The sequence below is a fragment of the Homo sapiens genome, chromosome 9 (assembly GCF_000001405.40).
Source record: "Homo sapiens chromosome 9, GRCh38.p14 Primary Assembly".
Classification (NCBI taxonomy): Eukaryota; Metazoa; Chordata; class Mammalia; order Primates; family Hominidae; genus Homo; species Homo sapiens.
This window is the reverse complement of record NC_000009.12, coordinates 100,333,641-100,359,871: the sequence shown is the minus strand read 5'-3', so window position 1 is coordinate 100,359,871 and position 26,231 is coordinate 100,333,641. Positions and strand designations below refer to the sequence as shown.

Below are 26,231 nucleotides of genomic sequence, written 5' to 3'. Positions count from 1 at the left end.
CAAGCAATCCTCCCACTTCAGCCTCCCAAAGTGCTGGGATTACAGGCATGAGCCACCACACCCAGCCCTTGCTTTTCCTTATACACTCTGTATATAGAATTAGTATACTCTTAGTAACCTTAATTTCTTTTATTTTTTCCTTCCAACTTTTCTCATTTCAGAGGGTACATGTTCAGGTTTGTTACATGGGTAAATTGCATGTCACTGGGGTTTGGTGTAGAAATCATTTTGTCACCCAGGTAGTAAGCATGGTGCCCAGTAGGTAGTTTTCCAATCTCCCACCCTCCACCCTCTAGTAAACCCCAGTGTCTATTGTTCCCCTTTTTGTATCCACGTGTACTCAATGTTTATCTCCCACTTATAAGTGAGTACGTGCAGGATTCAGTTTTCTGTTCCTGCATTAATTTGCTTATGATAATGGTCTCCAGCTGCATCCATGTTGCTGTAAAGGATATGATTTCATTCTTTTTACTGGCTGCATAGTATTTCTTCATGTATATATACCACATTTTCTTTATTCAATCCACTGTCGATGGGCATCTAGATTGATTCCATGCCTTTGCTATTGTGAATAGTACTGTGATGAACATATGTGTGTATGTATCATTTTGGTAGAATGATTCATTTCCCTTCGGGTATATACCCAGTGATGGGATTGCTAGGTTGAATGGTAGTTCTATTTTAAGTTCTTTGAGATATCTGCAAACTGCTTTCCATAGTGGCTGAACTAATTTACATTCCCACCCGTAATTTATAAGCACTCTCTTTTTTCCACAACCTCACCAGCATCTGTTATTTTTTTACTTTGTAGTAGCCATTCTGACTGATGTGAGATGTGATCTCATTGCAGTTTTGATTTGCATTTCTCTAATGATTATTGATGTTGGCCATGTGTATGTCTTCTGTTGAGAAGTGCTTATCTTAGTAACCCTAACTTCTAGTGAAAACTTAGGAAGTTTGAGCAGTTTTATATCAGTGTTTATAGATGAAAACATTTTATAATTTTTAGAAAGATTTGTTTTCTCACATTTTTGTTTACCAGTTCTAAATATATTTAGCTTTTAAATACCATAAGATGTCAAAGTACATAAATTTAAATTTGTTTAATAATTACTGTTCAATATTTTAAGTGACTTAGAAGTGACTCAGCCATTTTATGATTATCTATTACTTTACTTAACAAGGATTTTAAGATTTTTAATTACTCAAACTATGACACAGGTATCTTCGCTAACGTCTTTCCTCGGTCTTAAGTAGGCATGTGGTACTTAGAAGGGCTATGAAAGGCAGGGCCCATCTGGTTCCTGAACTTACATACCAGGGGTAGGCTCAGGATAGAAGATAACTGTGAAGACAATGCCTGGAGGATCCAACCCCTTCTAACATAGCCAGGGGGCAAAACTGGAACAGGTAGGAAGTGGTTATAGTGGGCTTGACTGCCTTATAACTGGTGGTCAAGTTGCTAAGAACATGTCCCCAACCCTTACCACAGCTACCTGTCCCAACAAAAGAATCCAGAGATTCAAAAGCAAAACCAAAAGCTTACAGACAAACCAATAAGTATCAAAAATCAAAGAAGCCACGTTATGACCTTAAAACATGTAGTAGACACATTATAAACCTGTCTGATGAATATATCCAGGAGAAAATGTCTGAATTATATTGAACTGACAATTCTGAAGTCATTATTATTTTATTTTACCAACTATTTTAAAACTAGCTTCATTTCCCAAATATTATCACATACATGTAACACATATTGAGTTATAGAAATATAGACACATAGACACAGCAGGTCTTAGAGCTTTCATCAGGAATTCTCATTTGCCAGCTTTCAAAAATAAAGCAAAATTTAGACAGATTAAATTTAACAAAGTTAAACAAAAAACAATTCACAGCTCCCCAAATCAAAACAGGTTGAGAGAGACTGGCACTGCTGCATGGTCCAAACAATTTTATAGAAAAAAAGGTGACATACAAAAAACAAAAATAAAATACAAAAACAGCTGGGATTACAGTGTGAGCCACCGTGCCTGGCCCCTTTCTGAATTCTTTTATTGTTTATAGTAAGTTTTCAGTTGATTTTTTTTTTTGGATATACAATTATATCTGCAAATGGAGATAATTTAACTTCCTCATTTCTAATCCTTTTGTCTTAGACTGATTTTGTGGTGTAATGGTCTTTGCACTCCTGGCCTTGCTGGTCTTTTCCTTCCTGTCTTTTTTCTAAGCCTGAACTGGTAGCCTCCCTGGCCATTCTCTGTGTTATTCAATATACTTTCAATAAATTCCTTTTCACTTAATGTCAGAACTGGTTTTCTGTTACTTTATCTAAGAAGCCCAACTAAATGTTGATTTTGCACATATAGTGCAAATAATGCCCAATGATGCATTATCAGTAGTGATATCTGTTGCCATTTATTGAGGGGCTATTGAGGCTGTGTGCCAAGTCATTTGTATATATAATACCAATCAATTCCTAGACAATGTGCCCCTGGTTATAGTATCATGTTTGAACTCATCATTTCAGCTTCTTCAAAGAGACTGCTTTTTGTGTTAGTAGTAGCTCTAAAATGTAAGGTAAGAGCCAGTTTAATATGTATATGCTTTTGTTTGCTTTGAAATTATAAAGTCAATTTTTATTAGGTTAACAACGTTTCAGGTTTTTTTTTAAAGCAGTGATACCTTATTCCCAAAGCAAATGCTGGAAGCCCAGTATGAAACACATTTTAAAGGAAAGCTGCAAAGGTTGGGTAGATTACGTAGAAGGAAGTTACTTAACCTAGAATATCGTGATGTGTCTGAGCATAGACAAAAAGGACAAAGCGTTTGGATGATGAAATACAGACATTTCTGGACACAGATCTTGGTGGCTCATATGGGTTGAATTGTGTCCTCCAAAAAGATATATTGAAGTTCTACCCCCTAGTACCTCAGGTGACTTTATTTGGAAATAAGGTCTTTAGAGAAGTGATCAAGTTAAAATGAGGTAATTAGGGCAGCCCCTATGACTGGGGTTCTTATAAAAGGAGTAAATTTGAACACAGACAGATATACACAAGGGAAGACAATGTGAAGACACAGAAGGAATGTCTACAAGGAATGTCTAAAGCTACCAGAAGCTAGGAGAGACGTGTGGAACAGAATCTTCCTCAGAATCCTCAGAAGGAACCAATCCTGCTGATACCTTGATTTCAGATTCCATGGTCTCCAGAACTGAGATCCAGAAATTTCTGTTATTTAAGCTACCCAGTTTGTGGTACTTTGTTATGGCTGCGGAAACTAAACACAGCACCTATGTGGCCAACTGGACAGAGTTTTGGAATTGGAGTGTCCTACACATTCCAGAATGTATGTTCGTTGTAAATAATGTTTTTCTGGCATGGGTGAAGGACCTTGATTAATTACATGCTTGTTATTTATCAAAGATCTCTTCAAGCTCGGGAAGTGATCAATCCTTACAATTGTTGCGTTCATCACTTAAGAGTTGGAAAAAGCCTGTCTTCAAGTACAAACTTTTTATGTCCTAAACCAGAGACAGTAAACTGGCAACTGGCAATAAGTATTTTGTTTGGCCTACACAGTGTTTCGAAAATAGGGGGAAAAATGTACTTGCCAATATTTAAAGAGCAGATTTCTTATAAACATTTCTGGATGTTATGGTTTGAATGTCCCCTCCAAAACTCATTTTGAAATTTAATTGCCACTCTAACAGTATTGAGAAGCCGGACCTTTAAGAGGTGATTAGGTTATGAGGGCTCTGCCCTCATGAATAGATAATTGTTATTGTGGGAGTGGGTTAGTTATCCTGGGTGTGAGCTCTTGACAAATAGGATGAATTCAACCTGATTTGTTCTCTCTGTCTCTAGAGCTCACTTCTGCCTTCTACCCTTCTGTCATGGTATGGATGACCCTCACCAGATGCTGATGCCACACTCTTGGACTTCTCAGCTGCAGAAGCATTAGCCAAATAGTCTTCTGTTCATTGTAAACTACCCAGTCTGTGGTATTCTGTTATAGCAGCAGAGAATGGACTTAAACACTGGATTTCCGGTTTGCTTGAAAAATGAGAAGATTTGCATTTCCTCATGACAACAGTTGACTGTTGCTGAAGATCTGCTGCTTCCTTTAGTCAGGCCAGGAGTACTTCTGTCAGCTACATAGCCACCAGACCCACTTAATGGGCTGAGTCTATAAACCCTGTGCTGCAGTGAAGTAGGGAAACAATAAGAGCTAGTGTTTGCTCAGCACCGCTATGTAGCAGGTGCTTCCTAGACATTTATTCAACAAATATTTATTGAGGGCCTACTAGGTGCCAGACACTGCTCTAGCTACTTGGAATATACCAGGGAATAAAACAAACGACCCATGTAAAACTTACATATTAGTGGTGGATGAAGGACAGAATCAAATAATCATTATGATAAATAAGTAAATTACATGGTATATTAGAAGGCGATATGTTCTTTTTTATTTTATTATTATTATACTTTAAGTTTTAGGGTACATGTGCACAATGTGCAGGTTAGTTACATATGTATACATGTGCCATGCTGGTGTGCTGCACCCATTAACTCGTCATTTAGCATTAGGTATATCTCCTAAAGCTATCCCTCCCCCCTCCCCCCACCCCACAACAGTCCCCAGAGTGTGATGTTCCCAGAAGGTGATATGTTCTAAAGGGAAATTGCAAGTCCTGGGAGAAGGTAATTTGTTATTTTAAATGAGGTGGTCAGGGTAGGGCTCCCTGAGAAGATATTTGAGTGGACTCGGGAGGAGAGGGAGTTAGCCACATGGACTTATTGGGGAAGAGTGTTTCAGGCAGACAGAAAAGCTAAAGAAAAGGTCCAAAAGCAGGAGTGTGTCACTGGTGTTTGAGGAAGGCAAAGAAGCAAGTGTGACTGGAGCAGAGTAAAAAAGGGGAGAGTGGAAGGAGGAGTGCTCAGATGGTAAGAGACTGTGTCAGAATATGGAAGAGCTTGAGAACTGATATGGTTTGGATATTTGTCCCTGCTCAAATCTCATGTTGTGTTGTAATCCTCAATGCTGGAGGTGGGGCCTGGTGGGACATGCTTGGGTCATGGGGGTGGATCCCTCATGGCTTGGTGCTTGTTTAGTGATAGTGAGTTCTCATCAGATTTGGCTGTTTAAAAATGTGTGGCACCTCTCTCTCTCTCTGTCTCTTTTCTTTTGCTCTCTCTCTTGCTCCTGCTTTCAACATGTGACATGCCTGTTCCCCCTTCACCTTCTATGATTGAAAGCTCCCTGAGACTTCACCAAAAGCAAGCAGATGCCAACATAATGCTTCCTGTAAAGCCAGCAGAATCATGAGCCAATTAAACCTCTTTTCTTTGTAAATTACCCAGTCTCAGGTATTTCTTTATAGCCATGCAAGAACAGCCTAAGGGAAGGCCCTAGAAAGGACTCTGGGTTTTACTCGAAGTGAAATAGGGAGCCATTAAAGGGTTTTGAGCCAAAGAGTGATCTGATCTAACCTAGATCTTAAAATAATCACACAGCTGCTCTGCTGATACCAGACTGTAGGGGGAAGAAGGACAATAAGGGAAGCAGGAAGATGTGTTTGCAGGCTTTTTGCAGTGATCAAGAAGCGGCTTGGACCAGAATGGTAGCAGGGGAGGTGTGTTAACTGGTGAAAGTTAGGATGTCTTTAAAGGTAGAGTCAATCTCCAGATGGATTAGATGTGAGGTGTGGAACAAAGAGGCCAAACCAAAAACCCAAAGGTTTCTGCTTGAGTAACTGCAAGGACAGACTTACTATTTGAGATGAATAAGCTGTAGGAAGAGTAGATTTCAAGGGGAAAATCATCAGTAGCTCTGTTTTGGACAAGTTGACCTTGAGATGTATACTGGATATCTGAAGGAAACATTGAAAAAACTGTTGGATACAAGTTTGGAGTTCCAGGGACTTGTCTGGTTGGCAATAAATCTTTCCTCTTCTGATCTAGTCTCATAGCTTTAAACAGAATATAATGCCACATAATGCCAATGACTCCCAAATATTTATGGTTATGGTCGATTCCAGGCAGATTGTGGTGATGTGGCCATATTGCCAGCAAAGGGAGGTCAGGGTTTCTAGCGCTGCCTCTTTATCTCCGATTATGGAACAGGCATGGTTTTAGTTCCAGTGCTTGGGTCTCCCTGGATTTAGACATCATTCCTTTGAATTCCCACCCAATATAATGAGGGTCAATATCTTCGCTAGCTTTACTAAGTCTTAATTATCTGGTGAGGTGTAGACACAAATTTGAATCAAGGTCTGAAGTCCTTACCTGGGGCTCTTTCTTCCATGCCATCATGCCAGTCTTTGTGAAGACATTTTTCAAAGGCTCATTCTTCTTACCTCTTTTCTAGGAATTTTAGTTTATTTCTTTACTTAACTTCAGAAATTAATTTCTCACTTCATTTTAGTAGCAGGAATGTTAGTGCTGAGAAACTGAGATGTTAGGGAGAATCCTTGACCAAGACTTCCAGGCTCTAGATACTAGGTGTGTCTTGCTCTAATTAAGGAAATCTTATCTGCTCCATCTTAGCCCAGTTTAACGTCCCCAGGAATTCCATCTTCTGCAGTCCTAAACTTTTCCCTTTTTCAATTCAGTGCAACTTATACTCTTCTCTGAAAGTGGCTCCAGGTCTGAAGAACTGTGGTCTGGGAGGAATAGAAAAGCATGCTCAGCTATAACCAGGCCCACATCCCCTAAGTTGCCTGCCCACCAAGTTACGGGCCGGACTTATGCGCCACGCTTTGTCCGGGGACCTCGCGCTGTCCTCCCTCCGGTTCCCACAGAGCAGGGGGCTTCCGGCGGGGTACCCTCCTCTGTGGGCGGGGCCTACCGCTCCCGCTCCCGCCTCCCCGGTTGCGCGCGGCTGCGGGCTGCGATCACGTGAGCACAGCAGGGAGGGGGAGGGGCCCTGATTTCCGGGCGGCGGAAGGAGACGCGGCCGCGTGAGGACGAGGCTATTTGAAAACACGCTCCGGGAGCTAGAGCCTGAGGTCGGCGGCGCACGCTGTTGCCCCGTGGGCTTCTGCTCCCTCGCTTGTCTTCTCGGGCTTCTCGCCCCGGCCGCGGCCGGGTCCTCAGGTAAGCGGCCGTCGCCCGTCGGGCCGGGTCCTCCCGGGGCGCGGGACTGAGCGTGGTGGGGCCGTCGCCCCCCGATCCGCGGCCCAAGCGGGCAGGGTCGGCCGTGCACGATTTGCGTCCCCCGGGTCTGGGCCGCGGCGTCCCTCCGAGCTGGGCCTGGGTGTGCGGCCGGCACTGCGGGGGCGGGACCCCCTAGGGCGTTTGCGGAGCTTCAGGTGACTGGGCGGGTTCGCCTGGTTTCGGGTCCGAGAGAGTTTTAGCCCGGAGTGTGTGAATCGGGCCCCACTTCCCCGACTCTGGTCCTGGCCGGCGTCCCTTGGAGTAGGAGGAACGATGGTTTCCTAAAACCCATGGTGTGTTCGCCTCTGGGATGGATGCAGGACCGAATACGGAGTGGGGATGAGCTGGCGTCCCCTGTTCCGTCCTCTGGTCGCCCAGGCGGGAGAGTTAAGCGAGCGGAAGGGGACTACCAGTTTTCTGGGGTCGCCCCTGCCTGGGCCATTTGCTTTTTGGGAAGTCTGTCGCCTCTGGTTGGCCCCTCAGTGGAGTTTGGAGGAACTCATGAGTTTAAGGGTTTGGGGAGGAAATTATCAAAGGCCGAGTGCAGTACGATCGTTCTCTCTGATTTTTTTTGGAAAAGAAGGTGGAAATGAGGAAGGGTAAGAAGGTGGCAGGCAAACTATTTATAGTTGGAATTTAGTTCGATTGAAATCCTAAAAACGCTAGGATCTGCCTTTTGTTGGAATTAGAAAAGACCTACAGTAGGAATGTGTGACATTCAGCTTTGAAACTATTGGGGATCGCAAACCTAAGGACTAGTGATGTGAGCTCCTCCTCTGAGACTGGCGTTCCTACCTTTTGCTAAAAACCGGCTACTGTAAAAGTGGCTTAGTGGGACTTTTTGATTTGCTGTGTTATGAAAATCTTTGTTATAAGTTAAAGTCAATTACTAGTAGAACTTTGAGAGTTCTTCGCATGAAAATGCTTTGTATCCCGTAATAATATTACTAGGTTTGAAAAGTCAAGGAAGGTCAATCAGCCTTCTTAATTTTCCTAACAGAGAAAGCATTAATGTGACTAATACAAAGCGATAGATAATATGGCATGAAGTTGACAGTAGACTGTTGAAGATCTATCAGGTGGTTAATGGCTAAATAGAACCCACAGGAGTGGAGGAGGAAGGGAGTTAATTTTTCTGAATGTCCTGTACCATTTACTTTCGTGTCTAGTACCAGCTAGTAATAAAATTGTAGGAAAAGCTCACAAAGTGTGCTTGCTTAATTAATGAAAACCATTTTTGTATTAAAAGAGGCCAGGTGAGTATCATGGCCTTCTTTTTAGGCCTTATTCCCTCCCACCCACCCACCCACCGACCCCCAGCTTTTTTTTTTGTTTTGTTTTGTTTTTTAAGACTAAGGTAACTAGAGGTGTGGGTGAGATGAAAATTTGGTAATAGGGACAAATGAAATAAGCCAAACTGTTTTGCCACGAAGACTTCCAGTCTTCAGGTTAATTCTGGTATGTTAAAGGTGGTTTTGCAGAGCTCAGTTCTGTGAATGAATCCCTTTTCAACTTCTTGATAAAGGCGTGACTTCCAAACTTTTCTGAGGTACATTGTTAAAATGGGTTTAGTTCCACCTACCTTGCATGGTTCTGTGCAGATTGTATACTGAGGTACACAATGCATCTAGTACCGGGCTTGGTATGTCCTGATCCTGAGACTTGAGGGACACGCACATGTTTATGCTTTGAGCATACGTATTTAACCATGTACCAGGCACAGTTCTGAGTGTTTTACAATTGTGTATGATTATCCCTATTTTGTAGATAGAAATTGGGACAGTGTACAGCTGGAAGGCGTCAGAGTTTGGATAAAAGCCTAATCAATCTGGTTGTAGAATTGGTTCTTAACCTGTGGGAAATCCTACCTCATGGCGATCTAATATAACCCTGTAATTAAGTAAATTTGGATATATTGTCATAGCTGATTGGCTTCTGAATTCCTTGAACTTGAGCTGTTCAGTATTGCACTGGCCATTTTATTAATATTGTAATAAAGGAAACTTTCGTTTTACCCATTTTTTTATACCCTCATGTGTAGCATTGTCACTTTTTATGGCCAGGCACAGGATAATTATGATAAACCAGGAGATTAGCAGAAGTTTTATATATTCCAGAGGTACTTACCCTATTCAAGTGGTGTACAGTATTGTTCTCAGGTGTGGAAAAGGCTTCAAGAAGAATTTAGCTGGTTCCAGGTAGAAGAGGCTATTGTTTTAGATAGAGATTAGCTTGTGGGAAGATAAAGCTGGAGAGGATGGATGGGGCCACATTAGGAAGGACCTCATATGTCCTGCTAAGGAGGTTTTACTATGTATGAGGAATAGAACAGCTGAGAACTCTTGAGTCTTGGTCATGAGATCTGTGTTCAGAGAGAGCTGTTTCGTAAAGGGCCAGTGGACTAGAGAGGAGACACTAGATAGTAGGCAGGAGTACCAGTGGGGAAGGTATTGAATGGTAGAAATAAAGGACTTCTTGAAAGTAGTGGCCTGGAAATGGGTAAGAGACACAGATCAAAGATTTCATGTGTAAGTGCAAGGTTTGGAATGTGGTATAGAGGGGGAGGAAGTACAAGATGGCATGGTGTTATGCCTGAGTTATTTATTATAATAGTGGCTTAGCTGGTCTTTGTTCCTTATCCCCCTATTACATTATATTTCTTTTTATGCTGCTTTTTATCCTTTTTGGGGACCAAGGGGGAATACTGTTTTCTGTTTAGTCTGAGGTTTATTCACTTTTGCTGTGCTAGGTTTATCCCCTACACCTGATCTTTACCTTGTTTTCCTTGCTCTTGAAAGGCCTATTATTCTCCTTGCTGTGTATTTGAATATTACCCATTTTTCACATGCTCAGCTTAGGTTCATAAATCTTTTTCTAATGGTTATAGGCTGCATTAAAGAATAACATTGGTTTTCCAACTTTGTTTGGTATTGCTAGAGAAGTTCCTCCGAGGCTCTTACGAAGCCCAGGAGCACACCAGCAGATACAAGTTACATCTCTAGGAAGTCTGTGCTGCTCTCCTACACTCGAACAAAGGAAAACAAAAAAAAAACACATTTCAGAAGGTTTCCCTTTAGCATATAGCTTGACAAAAGGTTCTGTGACCCAAAAAACTTTGCAAAACCGTGGCAAGACTGTTGCCTTGTTACAGTATTTTATCACTAAACTGAGTTTTTAATAGTTCTTAACAGCATTTTTTAATATTTTGATCTTTCAGCATAATCAGATTCTTGATTACGATTGAAATAAATGTTACAGTAGTATGTGTTGGAAAGTGCCTTTTTTCATAATTTATTCTTGTCTCTATCCATTGCTTTTAATTAATTCTTTTCATTATAGTAGTCGAGAATGACTAAAAAAAGAAAACGCCAACATGATTTTCAAAAAGTAAAATTGAAAGTTGGTAAAAAGAAGCCCAAGTTACAAAATGCTACTCCTACAAACTTTAAAACAAAGACTATACATCTGCCTGAGCAACTCAAAGAGGATGGAACACTTCCAACAAACAATAGAAAACTTAACATAAAGGTAAATCATAAATCATGTTTTGACAAAATAAGATTTTCTTTGGAATCGTGTAGAATGTTATATTTTTGTGAAAATTTGTCTAAACTCTTAGAGTAAATAGTTTGCCTAGGGTCTTAGGGTTTATTGATGTTTGGAGTTTATCTTTTACCCAAAGATCTCTCATGCAGCTGTGTCTTTCCACTTCCTCCAGAAACGTTCGCTAAACTAAATGCACAGTTGTTTCTCCCTGGTATATTTATTTGATGATTTATTTATTTATTTATTTATTTATTTTGAGACAGGTCTCACTCTTACACCATGTTGAGCACAATGGGGTGCTATCATGGCTCACTGCAGCCAGGACCTTCTGGGCTCAAGTGATCCTCCTACTTCAGCCTCCCAAGTAGCTGGGGCTGCAGGCGAGCGTCACCATGCCTGGCTAATTTATTTTTTTGTGGAGGCAAGGTTGCAATATGTTGCCCAGGCTGGTCTCAAACTCTTGGATGCAAGCAATCCTCCAGCCAAGGCCTCCTGAGGTGCTGGGATTGTAGGCGTGAACCACGGCACCTGGCTGTATCTGGAAATAATTCTTACATGTTTTTGATGTGTCAAATTTTTGATGAACAGTTTTCTAGCTGTTTTTTAGCGAATTAAGATACAATCCTGTCATTCATTTTTGAACCCATACAGCACATAGTTTATTATAGGTTTGTAGTAAATACTTGAAGTCAATTGAAGTTTGAGAAGTGTTGCTTAAGAATCTAACAGCTTTATGGAGATATAATTTACACATAATTAAAATCTCTCATTTAAAGAATACAATTCATTGGTTTTGGTATATTTACAGAGTTATGCTACTATCACCTTAATCTAATTTTAGAACGTTTTTATCACTCCAAGAAGAAAACTTATACCCATTAGGAATCACTTCTCATTTCTTCCAGCCCTAGGCAATCACTAATCTACCTCTGATATCTATAGATTTGCTTATTCTAGAAAGTGCATATAAATGAAATCATATAATACATGGCCTTTTGTTACTGGCCTTTTACTTAGCACAGTGTTTTGGAGGTTCCTCCAGGTTGTATGTAGCTTGTAGCATATATCAGAACAGTGGTACATTCCTTTGTATTGTCGAATTGTATTTCATTGCATGATTAGGTCACATATTGTTGATCACTCAGCAGTTGATGAACATTTAGTTTGTTTCTGGTTTTTGGCTCTTATGAATAATGCTGTTATGAATATTTGTGTGTAGGTCTTTGTGAGGATATACATTTTTCGAGTTTTGCTTTTTAAGCTCTGAAGTTTAAATAATACTAAAGAGTTATTTAAAGTTTTTTTTTTCCCAAAGGTTACATAAATTATTCCACAGATAAAATTGTCAGGTAGTATACTCTGAATAAAACACAAACACCCTGTGAAAGCCCATTTGAAACAGGCAGAAACGGCCTGTCAAGAGTATATATATACACCTTCCATGATGTTTGGTACCTAGTAGGTTTTCAATAAATGATGGTGTGATTGCTGTCACTTTATATCATAGAGCGCCTAAGCCTGCATGTAGGTTAATGTAAAGAGAGAAAATTCCAACTGAAAATTATGCAATGTTTTTATTAAGCTGAAAGTATTTTTCTGTTTCTGATCCTAACAAAAGCTAAATAACATTTAAAAAGTACTTATTGAAGCAGTTTCCCCAAGGAGTGTCAGTTTACTAGTGTAGTGTTAGTTAGCATGTTTACGTGAAATTGATACATGTATATAAGTATACATCTAAAATTTGTATTTTTATTTATAGGATTTGCTGTCACAGATGCATCACTACAATGCTGGGGTTAAACAAAGTGCTCTTCTTGGACTTAAAGACCTTTTGTCTCAATACCCATTTATAATTGATGCACACCTTTCAAACATATTAAGTGAAGTGACTGCTGTGTTTACAGATAAAGATGCTAATGTACGATTAGCAGCAGTTCAACTTCTTCAATTCCTGGCCCCCAAAATACGAGCTGAACAAATTTCTCCATTTTTTCCTTTGGTAAGTGCCCATCTCTCTAGTGCCATGACTCACATTACTGAAGGAATTCAGGAGGACTCTTTAAAAGTTTTGGACATTCTGCTGGAACAGTACCCAGCTCTAATTACTGGCCGTAGCAGCATATTGCTTAAGAATTTTGTAGAACTTATTTCTCATCAGCAGCTGTCCAAAGGACTGATAAATAGAGACAGATCCCAGTCCTGGATACTTTCTGTAAATCCTAATCGGAGACTCACTTCTCAGCAATGGAGGCTGAAAGTCTTAGTGAGACTCAGTAAATTCCTTCAGGCCTTGGCAGATGGATCCAGTAGGTTGAGAGAAAGTGAAGGACTTCAGGAACAGAAAGAAAATCCCCATGCCACTAGCAACTCCATTTTTATCAACTGGAAGGAACATGCCAACGACCAGCAACACATCCAGGTTTATGAAAATGGGGGTTCACAGCCAAATGTCAGTTCACAGTTCAGGCTACGGTAAGAAGGATTTCAGTTATGTCCACACAGTTTTGCTGTATTGAATTATAACTGCTAACCATTGATGACTGTTGGTGGGAAGACATGCAGTTGTCTTTCATAGTTTTCATATAGTTACTCATGATTTGATTTTATTTACTGATGGGAAGAGTTATTTGTATGTTAATTTATTTATAGCAAAGCCTTTGAGAAATAAAACTTGATAATATCTTTTGGCTTTGTCATCTTAGAATTTCATTTTTCTTACTAGTTTTGATTGATGTAATTATCAGTTCATGGTGCTTCATTTTACTAGTACTTTATATTTAAGATTTAAATTAGCAAGGGATAATAAACATTTTTTAATCACTTAATTTTTTTCTTTCTTACCCTTATTAGGTATCTGGTTGGAGGACTGAGTGGTGTGGATGAAGGCCTGTCATCTACTGAAAACCTGAAAGGATTTATTGAGATAATAATTCCATTGCTAATTGAATGCTGGGTTGAAGCTGTACCTCCACAACTAGCTACTCCTGTTGGGAATGGTATAGAACGAGAACCTCTACAGGTTATGCAGCAAGTTCTTAATATTATTTCCCTTCTGTGGAAACTCTCTAAACAACAGGATGAAACCCATAAATTGGTGAGAACTAATGGTTCTTTATTTTCTTAGTATTAATAGCCTTTTATCATAAATGGCAAGATTCGAAATCAGCTCATTACTACTAATTGGTTATATATTTTTCTGAAAAGTACCCTGGGTTTAACTGTAAACTTGTTTGTTTTGCACAAAACTACAAATTAGTTTTCTGAAGTTATTATCTGTGAATATATATATATATATATTTAAGTGAAATGCGTAACTCATGCTTGGTTCCATTAGTTTTTTACTGGCTATAATTCATAGTAGTGTTACAGTGTATTGTTTATGGCAGATTGATTGTGTAGGAACATTCTAGTTTCTGAAAGGTCTCTTACAAGGTTTAAAAAGTTGCTTATTAAGTAGTCTCTTTCAATTTATTCCACATTGCCAGGTTTAGTAGAAAGGGACAAAACTGAAGAGCTCATGATCAGACTTGAATTGTTTTAAGTGTTGTGCTATAGTGAATGTAGTGCATAGTGTATGCTACACTTTTCCTTTGCAACCAAGGAGGAACAAGCTGCAAGATTAAGTTGGTGCTAAATCAATACAGTAACACACTTGAAAAGGGTAGCTACAGAAGCAAGACTTCAAAGCTAGAAGCATCTGGTTTTCAGAAGAATTGCTGTAAGGACTTTTGATAAGGCAGGTGTGAATCCTTCAAGTTTATATAAAACTGAGAAGGTAGTTTTCTTGTTTTTGTTTTATTTTTATTTCAAGTTGAAGTTTAGAATGAGTCAGTATGGTGCATAAGACGGGATAAATTAAGTAGTATTTGATAGTCTTGAAAAGCATTATAGAGTTGTAGTAAGGTGTATATTTTAAGAGCGTGTTCTATTGCTGTTAACTCATCATCTGTAGGAATGTTTTGTCAATTGCTTTTTCAAATAAGATGGCATTTTATTGATTACGGTTTTGAGACTTTGTTTTATGATTCATTGCATACATTGGCAAAAAATTAATAATAGGGCTATAATGTAAGATTTTGAGAAAGCAAAGCTTGTTTCTCATATGGCAGTTAATTTGTGATGTAGGCTAGAGACAGTAAGAATGTATATAGCTCCTTTAAAAAAAGTATATAGTACTTACAGTCTTGATCTATGATCATCTGAAAGGTTCAGATAGAAAATAAAAGTAATGCTAAAGTCCTTAAGATGTCCTATAAAAAAGAAAAAGTAATATTCAACATGGACTTTGAGTGCTAGTTTTTTCTTTTCTTTTTATTTTTGAGACATAGTTTCGCTCTTGTTGCCTAGGCTGGAGTACAGTGGCACGATCTTGGCTCACTGAGACCTCCACCTCCTGGGTTCAAGCAATTCTCCTGCCTCAGCCTCTTGAGTAGCTAGGCTTACAGGTGCCCGCCACCATGCGTGGCTAATTTTTTGTATTTTTAGTAGAGACGGGGTTTTACCATGTTGGGCAGGCTGGTTTTGAACTCCTGACCTCAGGTGATCCACCCGCCTCAGCCTCCCAAAGTGTTGGGTTACAGGCGTGAGCCACCACGCCTGGCCTAGTTTTTTCATTTTTAGAGAGCCAAGAAGTAAAAATTCCAAGCTTCTTCGGTGTTTGATTACATATAAGCACTAGTAAACTTTTGTTACTGCTTTGTTAGTAGCATTTGTATTTAGATAGACTAGTAGGACCAAAATTCAAAATCTGAAAATTTATTAATTATGCTAGTTTTGGGTCATCTTATCTGGATAACACTAACAAAGGATCTAAATACTGCTTTAGTTTTATGGATATTTAAAATAGTATGCTTTAGAACTATTTTGTGCTATTATAACATGACTAGGCTTATTAGCAGCTCATTAACATATAATGGTAAGTTTAAAAGACTGCGTAGACTGTTGAAGATCAGAATACAAATTGAGATACTGTATAAAGCTGAAATAAATAAATTCAGATAGGAATAATATTTAAAAACATCCACTGGTAGAATGCTCTAATTCACCTTGGCAGATTTGTAATAACTTGATAAGAACCATTATTTATTTATTTATTTTTTAAAAAGGAACCATTATCTTAGAGACAGAGTATAAAAATGTACATCATTGGTACAATCTATACAAAATGATAGATTGTTAGTAGCATTCTATACAAAATGACATTAAAATGCACATTCTGGTCTTGAACTTCTGGCCTTAAATATCCTTGCACCTTGGCCTCCCAAAGTGTTGAGATTACAGGCATGAGCCTCTTTGCCTGGCCACAGCCTAATCTTTAGGAGGAACCAAATAGCATTGCTTGGCATTGATGTCAGATCACACACCACAAGCTGAATTGTAACTCTTTTTCTCTCAGAAACTGTATAGATTTTTCTATTGGTAAATTGATGTCTCGGTTAGATATAGTCTTAGGACTACTGACTGTTTGCTTTTACATGTTGGTGCTGCAGCTTAATGCATTTAGTTTGCTAGTATTTACAAAAAGTCAAGAAATTTCACTTGTATTCAGGTAGTTTTTTTTTTTTTTTAAACTTTTTAGTAATTTGAAGCTTTGATCCTTACTTTGAAAAGAAGTCTCAGGGTACATTAAGTCTTACATGCAGTGGCTGAATAGTCAGATTCTGTAATAATCAACTGAAGTTGTTTATTTCTGAAATACTGTGTGTATCTTTTTTTTTTCCTGTTCATATAAACAGCCATTTATTCCAGCACTATTTGTTGAAAAGATTGTTGTTTTACATTTGATTACCTTGGCACTATTTTTCTTTTCTTTCTTTCTTTTTTTTTTTTGCATTCCCTTACCTATCTTTTTTATTTTAAAGTCAAACCTTCAGAAGGAATACAATAAGCACTTGCCTACCCCCATCTAGTTGCAGCAATTTCTAACATTTTGTGCACATGTTGAACTACTACTGTATGTATTCTTAATAGTTAGCTAGCTATATCCTTGATATAACTAGTTTTTATTTATTTTTATTTATTTTTTTTTGGAGACGGAGTCTCACTCAGTCGCCCAGGCTGGAGTGCAGTGGCGCGATCCTGGCTCACCTCCCGAGTTCACGCCATTCTCCTGCCTCAGCCTCCCAAGTATCTGGGACTACAGGCGCCTGCCACTATGCCCAGCTAATTTTTTTTGTATTTTTAGTAGAGACGGAGTTTCACCGTGTCAGCCAGGATGGTCTCGATCTCCTGACCTCGTGATCTACCTGTCTCAGCCTCCCAAAGTGCTGGGATTACAGGCATGAGCCAACGCGCCCGGCCGATATAGCTAGTTTTTAAAATGAAATTACAGTTTAACATTAGCTTTTTGATTTACTGTGGTTTTTAGGGTACTGTATTAGTAGTGTCAGGGTCAGTATTATGTTATAAAAATTGTGTCTTAGCTTTGCATTTAATGCTTGACTTGCTTGCTACTTTTTCTCTACGTGTGTGTCTCATTGCTTTTATCCTTTTGCTGTGAGGGTTAGAGTTTGTAACCAAACACTAATGCAGTCATACTTTATAAGGCATTTATTCAAAGCTTTATTGGGCATCAATAAATAATGGCTACTTAAATTAATTAAAATTTAAAATTCAATTCCTCAGTAACCCTAGCCACATTTCAAGTGCTCAACAGCTACATGTGGGTAGTGGTTACTATATTGGACAGTGCAGATAGATATAGAACAGTTTGATCATTACAGAAAGGTCTTTTGAATAGTACTATTCTAGACTCTGGGGCTACAGAGATAAACATGGTTGATAAGGTGCTTGCCCTCATGGTATGTACCTTCTGGTGGGATCTATAGACAGTAAACAAATATATAATGTCAGTACTAGGAAGAAAGATGAAAGTAAAATGGGGTATAAAGAGCATGGGCAGGAACAGTGAGGGGGAGCTATTTTAGATAGGTTGTCAAATGCTCTCTGAGAATAAGATATCTGAATGTCATTGAAGTGAAGGAGCAAGTCTTGTCAACATCTGTGGGAAGAACATTCAGGCATAGGAAACAGCAAGTACAATGGCTTTGAGGTGAGAACAGGCTTCGCATATTTGAAGAATGGCAGGAAGGCCTGTGCAAATGAGGTACTGGGAGAATGGTAGAAGATGGGGGCGAAGAAGAGTGATAGTGGCCAGATCATGTGGGACTCTGTGGTCCCTGGTAAGGAGTTTGGATTTTAACCTGAGTGTGGCGAAAAGACCACTGGAGGGTTTTGAGCAGAGGAGTGGCATGATCTGCATTATATTTATTTAACTTTAATGTGCTGAATTTATAAAAATAGAACACTAGTGAACTCCCAGGTGCTCACAGTCTAACTCTAGCAACCATCATCTCTTGGATGACCAGTCCTGTCCTACATGTATATACATTTCGTTTCCTTTCCCCCTTCCTGTATCATTTTGAAACACGATTTATGTTTTAAAAGATCACCCTGGCTGCTGTGTGGGGAATTGACTTTTGGAGGATAAGAGGAGAAACAGGCAGACTGGTTAGGAGGCTATTGCAGTAATCCAAGTAAAAGATGATGGTGGCCGGGTATCTAGTGGTTGAAATGATGAGAACTAGCTGGATCTAGGTAAAGCCAGCCAGACTGTTGGTATGTATAATGAAGGAAAGAGGAGTCAAGGATGATGCCAGTGTTACATCGCCCAAATGAGAAAGAAAGTCATTTGGCAGGGAGAATTTGGTTTTATTCATGTTAAGTTTTAAGATGCTTGTCAGAAGTTGAAGAGGAAGTGTCAAGTATGTATTTGCATATAAAATCTGGAGCTCAGGCAGAAATGATTCAAGTATTATTACTGGGCAGATCCAAACGTTTAGAAGTCAGGAAGAAGAGAACCCAGTAAAGATACTAAGGAGGAACAATAATTGAGCTGTAAGGCCGGGTGCAGTGGCTCACGCCTGTAATCCCAGCACTTTGGGAGGCCAAGGTAGGTGGATCACTTGAGGTCAGCAGTTGAAGACCAGCCGGGTCAACATGGTGAAACCCAGCTCTACTAAAAATACAAAAATTAGCCGAGCGTGGTAATGGGCACCTGTAATCCCAGCTACTCAGGAGATTGAGGCATGAGAATCGCTTCAATCTGGGAGGCAGAGGTTGCAGTGAGCTGAGATAGTGCCACTGTACTCCGACCTGGGCGACAGAGCGAGACTTCATCTCAAAAAAAAAAACCAAATTGAGCTGTAGGGTGACCAGCTGTTTTAGCACCTCAAGTCCCACATCTAGGAAACTTCTCAGTCTCTGACAAAATGGGATGGTTGGTTACCTTGGATAAGAGGAAATAAAGAATATTCTAATTTGGAATTAGAAAGACAGTGTTTCCATAGGAGGGAAATGATAAATTCACCAATACTACTGAAGCATTTTAAGTAAATGCATTGCTTTGTGAAATTGTTAAATAATGGAATTGCTGGAGAATAGAGTTATGGTGTAGACAGAACATCAGGGAGAAAGACTTTCTTGTATATTTCATAAACATTGCATTAGTAGTCCAAATTCAGAATTTTCTTAAGTCTCAGATACTTTCACTTTTTCTCTCTTAAGCAGCAGACAGAATGCAAGTAAATAGTTATTAAGCACCAAAAGGATCTATAGATGAAAAGTGGGTGCTTTAACAGTTAATTCTGATTTTTAAATTTATTTACATATTATATTACTGGTAGAAAGTGAATTATGATGGGACATTTATTTGACAAGTTGTCATTTCTCTTCAAGTTTTATTGCTTATTTTACATTTTTTCTTGTAGATTTTTCTAATCTTTGCTATTTCAATAGGAGTCATGGCTTCGAAAGAACTACCTTATTGATTTTAAACACCATTTTATGAGTCGTTTTCCATATGTCTTAAAAGAAATAACCAAGCACAAAAGGAAAGAGCCAAATAAAAGGTATTATGATTCTTTTTCACTGTATAACCTTGAAAAGCTGTTTAACCTGAAATTATCAGGAAGTAATTAACCTTAATATGGAACTTTCTACACTGCTGTGTATTTATGTCTAGATTTTGTGAAAATAAAAGTAGTAATATGGCTGATTTTTGGACAAGTGAGTTTGAACCTTGGGATTAACATTTTATTTTTATTTTTTAGTCTGTAAAATGGTTTTTTTGTGCTAGATGAATGTATCAGCTTATGTAAATACGAATTTAATAAAATTGCCAAGGTGTATGGTTTATTTGGGTGAGGCACTGTGTGATTATTGAACCTCTTAAGCAAGAGAATATCTTGATGATCATCTAGTTCCACTCTCATTTATACATGAGGAACCTGGTATTGAAACTAATATCAGTATCCCGAAGGAAGGAGGGTAATTGGAGAAAAATCAGAAATAAAAGGTAATTGATTAGAAGGTGAAAGTTAAAAAAAAAAAAGTAAGCCTAGAAATTATTTAAAATGTCTACCTCAAGTAAGAGCAGATAAATGTGAGAACAAGTTATGTAATAAAATTTGACAAGCAGGTACAAGCTAAAATACTAATACTGTAGTTCCCGTAAATGAGCATACACTTGCAAGGGATCTTAAAATCTGTCAAAGGCTCTTTTATCAAAGGGAATACATTAGCTAGAGAATCATTGAGGTTTTTTGAGCAGGGTTCAGAGAATATGCTTGGAAGCAATACAGCTATTTCAGGCATAAGAGTTTTTCATTCATGCACTAAATATTTGTTTTGGTTGCTTACTGTGAACAGGGTAGAACAAAGTATTGTGATAGAGAGGATCAGATTTTTTAAGCCTTGTACCTTGCCCTCCTAAGCAGTTTTATAAATATATATAAATATATATAAATATATAAAAATGTATATTATATATAATATATAAATATATATAAAAAACAAATATGTGTATATATATATGTATATATATATATATACTTTTTTTTTTTTTTTTTTTTTTTTTTTTTGAGATGGAGTCTCACTCTGTTTCCCAGGCTGTGGCACCATCTCAGCTTACTGCAACCTCTGCCTCCTGGGTTCAAGTGATCCTGCTGCCTCAGCCTCCCAAGTAGCTGGGATTACAAGTGTTCACCACCATGCCTGATTAATTTTTGTATTTTTAGTAGAGACAGGGTTTCACCATATTGGCCAGGCTGGTCTTGAACTCCCGACCTCAAGTGATCTGCCCACCTCAGCCTCCCAAAGTGCTGTAATTATAGGCATGAGCCACTGTACCCAGCCTTAAGCAATTATATTCTGAATCATAAAAGAATGTGTCAGGGTCCAGTCATGAAACAGAAACTGCGACAGTGATTTTTTTTTGAGACAGAGTCTCACTCTGTTGCCCAGGCTGGAGTGCAAGGCGTAATCTTGGCTCACTGCAACCTCCATCTCCCAGGTTCAAGCGATTCTCCTGCTTCAGCCTCCTGAGTAGCTGGGATTATAGGCATGCACCACCACGCCTGGCTAATTTTTGTATTTTTAGTAGAGATGGGGTTTCTTTCACCATATTAGCCAGGATGGTCTCAAACTCCTTACCTCGTGACCCACTACCTTGGCCTCCCAAAGTGCTGGGATTACAGGTGTGAGCTACCGTGCCTGGCCGACAGTGATTTTTTTAACAAGAGAATTTAATGTAAATAATTGTTAACTAGGTATGCAAAGGAAGTTAGGTATTATGGAGGTACCAACTGCAAGAAGCAGATACTACTTGTAGAACTGGGAGAACAAAGAAGGGAAGAAGCTTGGAGGAAGGGAGCCAAAACTCTAACCTCTCAGAAGGGTATGCTCCTCAGGCAGGTACTGATATCTTTAGCTGAGAGCAAGAACCCCATAGGGCTGGGGCCCAGTACTCTGAAAAGCGGGTGCTGGCTGGCTGGTGCTGACGTTTCTTAGAGGCATGATGATTCTGGTTCTGTGTCAGAAAAACTACAAACTGGAGTCTGCTATGGCTACTATAATGAACTGCAAATGACCTGAAGAAGAGCTGCCGATCAACACTGGCAGCAATAGGAAACAAAAACAAAACTAGCAAGCAAACAGAAGAGTGTCCCGTCTTCCTCTTACAGCTTTCTAGGCCCTTTGTACCACCCCTTTATTGGCAGAGCCTAATAAGCCATCTACAAAGGAAAAAATGTGGGTCGCAGAGTCCCAACCCCAGGGTCACAAAGCAGAGTATAGAGGGCGACTTTGAAGCTGAGAAACAGTAGCTCTGTAACTAACATTTACATGTGTATATTTACATATGTAACACAAAGCAGTATAAAAGTATCATTAGAACTATACAACTAAGTGCTATAAGAATTCATAGGAAGAGACAGATAACTGCTTATTAGGATAAACAGACAAAGCTAAATTGAAGAGTAGTATTTGAACTGGGTATGAACGTGGATATGGTTTCAGGAGGCAGAAATGCAAGGGATGAGACTTTTGTAACTAGAGGAGATAGCATACAAGAAAGCTACAGGATTAGGAAATGGATGGAGAGCGTGGATCTGGGTCCAGTCTGATTTCTGCTCTTCACTGGCCTTGATGTGGAAGCCGTTTCTTGACTCAGGAGTTCATCTTTCAGATCCTTTTGGCATTGAAGACTTTTGGTTCAGTCAGAACTGTTTTAGGGAGCTTCTGGAGTTGAGGGGACAGAATCAAAGAGACACTTTATTGAGCAAGATGTTAGACTTTTTCCCCCCATACAATTTTCTTATTAGAGTTTTTCTTCTGGGATTCATAGGTAAGCTTCAGAAAATCCATGAACTCTCAAAGTATTGATGGAGAATTATATGTATGTGTATTTTTTCAAATAAGGCATTCCATGTATAATTTTCATCAAAATGTGATTAAATTGTGGTTTAGATGTTTAGGATTTAGTAGACTTCAGTGTAAATAAATTATTGAAAAATGTATCAGCATATCATCATTCAAGAAATTTATTGGACTCTTATGTGCAAGGCACTTATTGTACTAGTTGCTGAGCATTTCATGGTAAAGGAAATAGGTAGAGTACCAGCTCTCATGGAGTACGGTCTAATGAAAAAGACATTTATTTCACTTGATTCTTTAATCAGTGACTGATTGTGATAGATATAGTGAAGGAAGAGCTTAGGTTAATACAGGAGTATGTAACAAAGAGTTGGTCCTGATCTTTCATGAGGGGAGGACCATCTTAGAGAAGGCTGCCCTGATGGAAGTGACAGCGTGCTGAGATATAAATGGGAAAAAAGAAAAGGAATTAACTTTATGAGGAGGTTGAGATGATGAAATTGAGGGATTTTTAGCAAAGATGGATTGCCAGTGTGACCTACTTTTCAAAAGATTCCCCCCTCATGATTGATTTTTGGGGAGCCTACAGGCTACTCTTAAGTAAATGCATTAAATACTTAGCAAATAGCCTGTGAACAGCAGCACAAATCACAGTTAGGGAAGTCAACAGTGGTCTAGGCCAACGGTCCCCAACCATTTTGCTATGAGGGACTAGTTTCATGGAAAACAATGTTTCCATGGACCTGAGGTGGGAGGCTTGGTTTTTGGGATGATTCAAGTGCATTACATTTATTGTGCGCTTTATTTCTATTATTACATTGTAATACGTAATGAAACAGTTTTACAGTTTACCATAATGTAGAATCAGTGGGAGCCCTGAGCTTGTTTTCCTGCAACTAGACAGTCTTATCTGGGGGTGATGGGAGACAGTGACAGATCTTCAGGTGTTAGATTCTCATAAGGAGCATGCAACGTAGATCCCTCGCATGCACAGTTCACAATAGGGTTCATGCTCCTATGAGAATCGAATGCCACTACTGATATGACAGGAGGCAGAGCTCAGGCAGTAATGTGAGCAATGGGGAGCAGCTGTAAATACAGAACAATCTTCATTTGCCTGCCGCTCACCTCCTGCTGTGTGGCCTGGTTCCTAACAGGCCGCGGACTGGTGCCAGTCTATGGCCAGGGGTTGGGGACCCCTAATCTAGGACAATGTTGTTTGCACTTCTTATTCAGGTACCCCCAGTGTATTTTTATTTTTTGTTTATTTATTTATTCATTTTTTTGAGATGGAGTTTCATTCTTGTTGCCCAGGCTGGAGTGCAGTGGCACTATCTCAGCTCACTGCAACCTCCACCTCCTGAGTTCAAGCAATTCTTCTGCCTCAGCCTCCCAAGTAGCTGGGATTATAGGCATGTGCCACTATGCCCGGCTAATTTTTTGTATCTAGTAGAGACGGGGTTTCACCATGTTGGTCAGGCTGGTCTCGAACTCCTGACCTCAGGCGAGCCACTGTGCCCAGCCTGTATTTTTAACCTGATACCTACATTTTAAAATCTCAGGTTGAAATACAGAGTTAAAAATGATATAATTTATTTTTATTGGGGTAAAATATATATAACATTAACCATTTAAACCACTTTTTAAGTGTACAGTTCAGTGGCATTAAGTACTTTCACAATATTGTGTGATCATCACCATCTATCTCAAAAAAAAAAAGGACATGCTTTGCATTTTTCATTGTTTTGACATTTGCACTAATGATACGAAAGCAATGGTGGGTAAAACTGTTAGTATCTTAGGCTGAATTAAGGCAGTGGCACCAAACTATACTAGTAGACATGTATTCTTTACCACCATACACTCACAGTTGAAAAAAAAACAAGCCAGTTTCACTTAAGAAGGTCCTGAATAAGCAGTAAACATAAATAATTGTATTAAGTCATGACCCTTGTCCGGGTGTGGTGGCTCACACCTGTAATCCCAGCACTTTTGGGAGGCTGAGGCAGCGGACCATGAGGTCAGGAGACCTAGACCATCCTGGCTAACACGGTGAAACCCATCTCTACCAAAAATACAAAAAATTAGCTGGGCATGGTGGCGGGCGCCTGTAGTCCCAGATACTCAGGAAGCTGGGGCAGGAAAATTGCTTGATCCCTGAAGATGAAGGTTGCAGTGAGCCGAGATCACACCACTGCACTCCAGCCTGGGCGACAGAGCGAGACTTCTCCAAAAAGAAAAAAAAAGTCTTGACCCTTGAGAACGCATATTTTTAATATTCTGTGTGATGAATGGGAAGTGTACATAAAGCATTTCTGCTGCATATCAAAGAACTATGATTGTCTCAAGGAAATAGCCCTGTGGGAATTTCTTACTTGTATTTTCCTGGAATGGACTAGATTTTAACTTGAAAAAAAATGACTGACAAACTGTGGTTATTCAGATTTGGGTGTTTGGCACATGTTTTCACAAAAATGAACAAAGTGACTGGCCAGGCGCGGTGGCTCACGCCTGTAATCCCAGCACTTTGGGAGGCAAAGGTGGGCAGATCACCTGAGATCAAGGGTTCGAGACTGGCCTGGCCAACGTGGCGAAACCCTGTCTTTACTAAAAATACAAAAATCAGCCAAGTGTGGTGGCGCACAACTGTAACCCCTGATACTTGGGAGCCTGAGGTGGGAGAATCACTTGAAGCCCAGAGGTGGAGGTTGCAGTGAGCCAAGATAGTGCCACTGTACTCTGGCCTGGGTGACAGAGTGAGACTCTGTCTCAGGAAAAAAAAAAAAAAGAACAAAATGAGCCTATCAGTTCCAGGAAAACAAATGGCATTTGTTGCCAATGATAAAATTTGAGCTTTCAAGCAAAAATTGATACTTTAGTAAACTTCTGTCTACCACTGTGAATTCTGTCCTTAGATTTACTACCTTTTTGCTCTTCATGTTTTTCATGTATCTCAGTCCTCCCTGGGATCATTTAGAGTCTTCTTTAGTTCGTTTTTTTCTCCCCCCATAAAAATGTATTTCTCTCGCATTTCTGAAGAATGTTTTAGCAGGGTTAATATTATAGATTTGGCAGTTATTTTCTTTGAGCACACTGACAATAATATTTTACTGTGTCCTGGTTTCTATTGTTAAGAAGTCAGCTATGAGTCTTAACTGTTGATACTTTAAGAGTTATCTGTGTTTTTTTTTTCCCCCTAAAGTTTTTCTTCTTGTCTTTCATTTTCTGCAATTTCACAGTGATGTATCCAGGTGTGATTTTCTTTTCTGTTTATTCTGCTTGGGATTTAGTGGATATCTGAGATCTTGAATCTTGAATGAAATGTCTTTTCATCGCTTCTGAAAAACGTATTATCTTTTAAACATTTGCCAATTTCTCTTCTTCCCTTTCAAGACCAATTTAATGCATGTTACATCTACTTACTGAATCCTCCACCTATTTTTTAATCTTTTATCTCTTCCAGTTTTTAATTCTTTAGTTGTATTCAGTTGTAGTCAAACATAAGTCCATTGAATTTTCATTTTTTATTTTTCAATTCTAGAATTCTTTCCAGTTGTTCTATCACCGTTCATTGGAAAGACTGTACTTTATCCATTAAATTTCCTTTGCTCATTTGTCAAAGTTCAGTTGACTATTTTCATGGGTCCGTTTTGGGACTGTGTTCCATTAATTTATGTATGTTTATTGTTTCACCAATACCATCTTATCTTGCTTATTGTAGCTTTATTGGGAGTCTTGAAAATGGGGAGTGTGAGTCTTCCAGCTTTGTTTTGCTTTAGTGCATTTTTTTGTTGTGGTTTTTTTTTTTTTTTT

General features: G+C 39.1%; 1 protein-coding gene and 1 long non-coding RNA gene across 13 annotated transcripts in view, besides 5 other annotated features; one reads left to right on the top strand and one right to left on the bottom strand.

Annotated features, from left to right (window-relative positions):
- The window catches only part of LOC105376177 (uncharacterized), a 41,149-nt gene extending 34,327 nt beyond the window's left edge, over nt 1–6,822 (bottom strand). For 6 of the 8 annotated variants that reach the window (NR_188638.1, NR_188642.1, NR_188637.1 and 3 more), the window contains exons 1-2: nt 6,291–6,822; nt 5,777–5,875 (exon numbers count right to left, since the gene is read on the bottom strand). This is a non-coding gene — a long non-coding RNA (uncharacterized LOC105376177). The remainder of the gene's footprint in view (nt 1–5,776; nt 5,876–6,290) is intronic. The other 2 variants (NR_188643.1, NR_188640.1) reach the window with 2 other exon arrangements.
- Nucleotides 6,603–7,237: an enhancer, noted in NCBI's record as "H3K27ac hESC enhancer chr9:103114917-103115551 (GRCh37/hg19 assembly coordinates)". NCBI's record gives its function as "activates a minimal SCP1, AML or CMV promoter by ChIP-STARR-seq in naive H9 embryonic stem cells {active_cell/tissue: H9 hESC(naive)}" and the evidence as "EXISTENCE:reporter gene assay evidence [ECO:0000049][PMID:30033119]".
- Nucleotides 6,603–7,301: a biological region, named in NCBI's record as "H3K27ac hESC enhancer GRCh37_chr9:103114917-103115551".
- Nucleotides 6,752–7,301: a silencer, noted in NCBI's record as "silent region_20133". NCBI's record gives its function as "represses an Ori minimal core promoter by ATAC-STARR-seq in GM12878 lymphoblastoid cells {active_cell/tissue: GM12878}" and the evidence as "EXISTENCE:reporter gene assay evidence [ECO:0000049][PMID:35858748]".
- TEX10 (testis expressed 10) overlaps nt 6,930–26,231 on the top strand; it is a 50,859-nt gene continuing 31,557 nt past the window's right edge. For 4 of the 5 annotated variants that reach the window (XM_011518798.3, NM_017746.4, XM_047423523.1 and 1 more), the window contains exons 1-5: nt 6,930–7,100; nt 10,500–10,688; nt 12,466–13,178; nt 13,557–13,800; nt 19,503–19,615. In XM_011518798.3, coding sequence (XP_011517100.1) covers nt 10,509–10,688; nt 12,466–13,178; nt 13,557–13,800; nt 19,503–19,615 — 1,250 coding nt within the window. In that variant the 5' untranslated portion in view covers nt 6,930–7,100; nt 10,500–10,508. Of the gene's footprint in view, nt 7,101–7,300; nt 7,454–10,499; nt 10,689–12,465; nt 13,179–13,556; nt 13,801–19,502; nt 19,616–26,231 lie in introns of those variants that run through there. The other variant, NM_001161584.2, reaches the window with a different exon arrangement.
- Nucleotides 7,642–7,691: an enhancer, noted in NCBI's record as "active region_28723". NCBI's record gives its function as "activates an Ori minimal core promoter by ATAC-STARR-seq in GM12878 lymphoblastoid cells {active_cell/tissue: GM12878}" and the evidence as "EXISTENCE:reporter gene assay evidence [ECO:0000049][PMID:35858748]".
- Nucleotides 18,240–18,739: an enhancer, noted in NCBI's record as "H3K27ac hESC enhancer chr9:103103415-103103914 (GRCh37/hg19 assembly coordinates)". NCBI's record gives its function as "activates a minimal SCP1, AML or CMV promoter by ChIP-STARR-seq in primed H9 embryonic stem cells {active_cell/tissue: H9 hESC(primed)}" and the evidence as "EXISTENCE:reporter gene assay evidence [ECO:0000049][PMID:30033119]".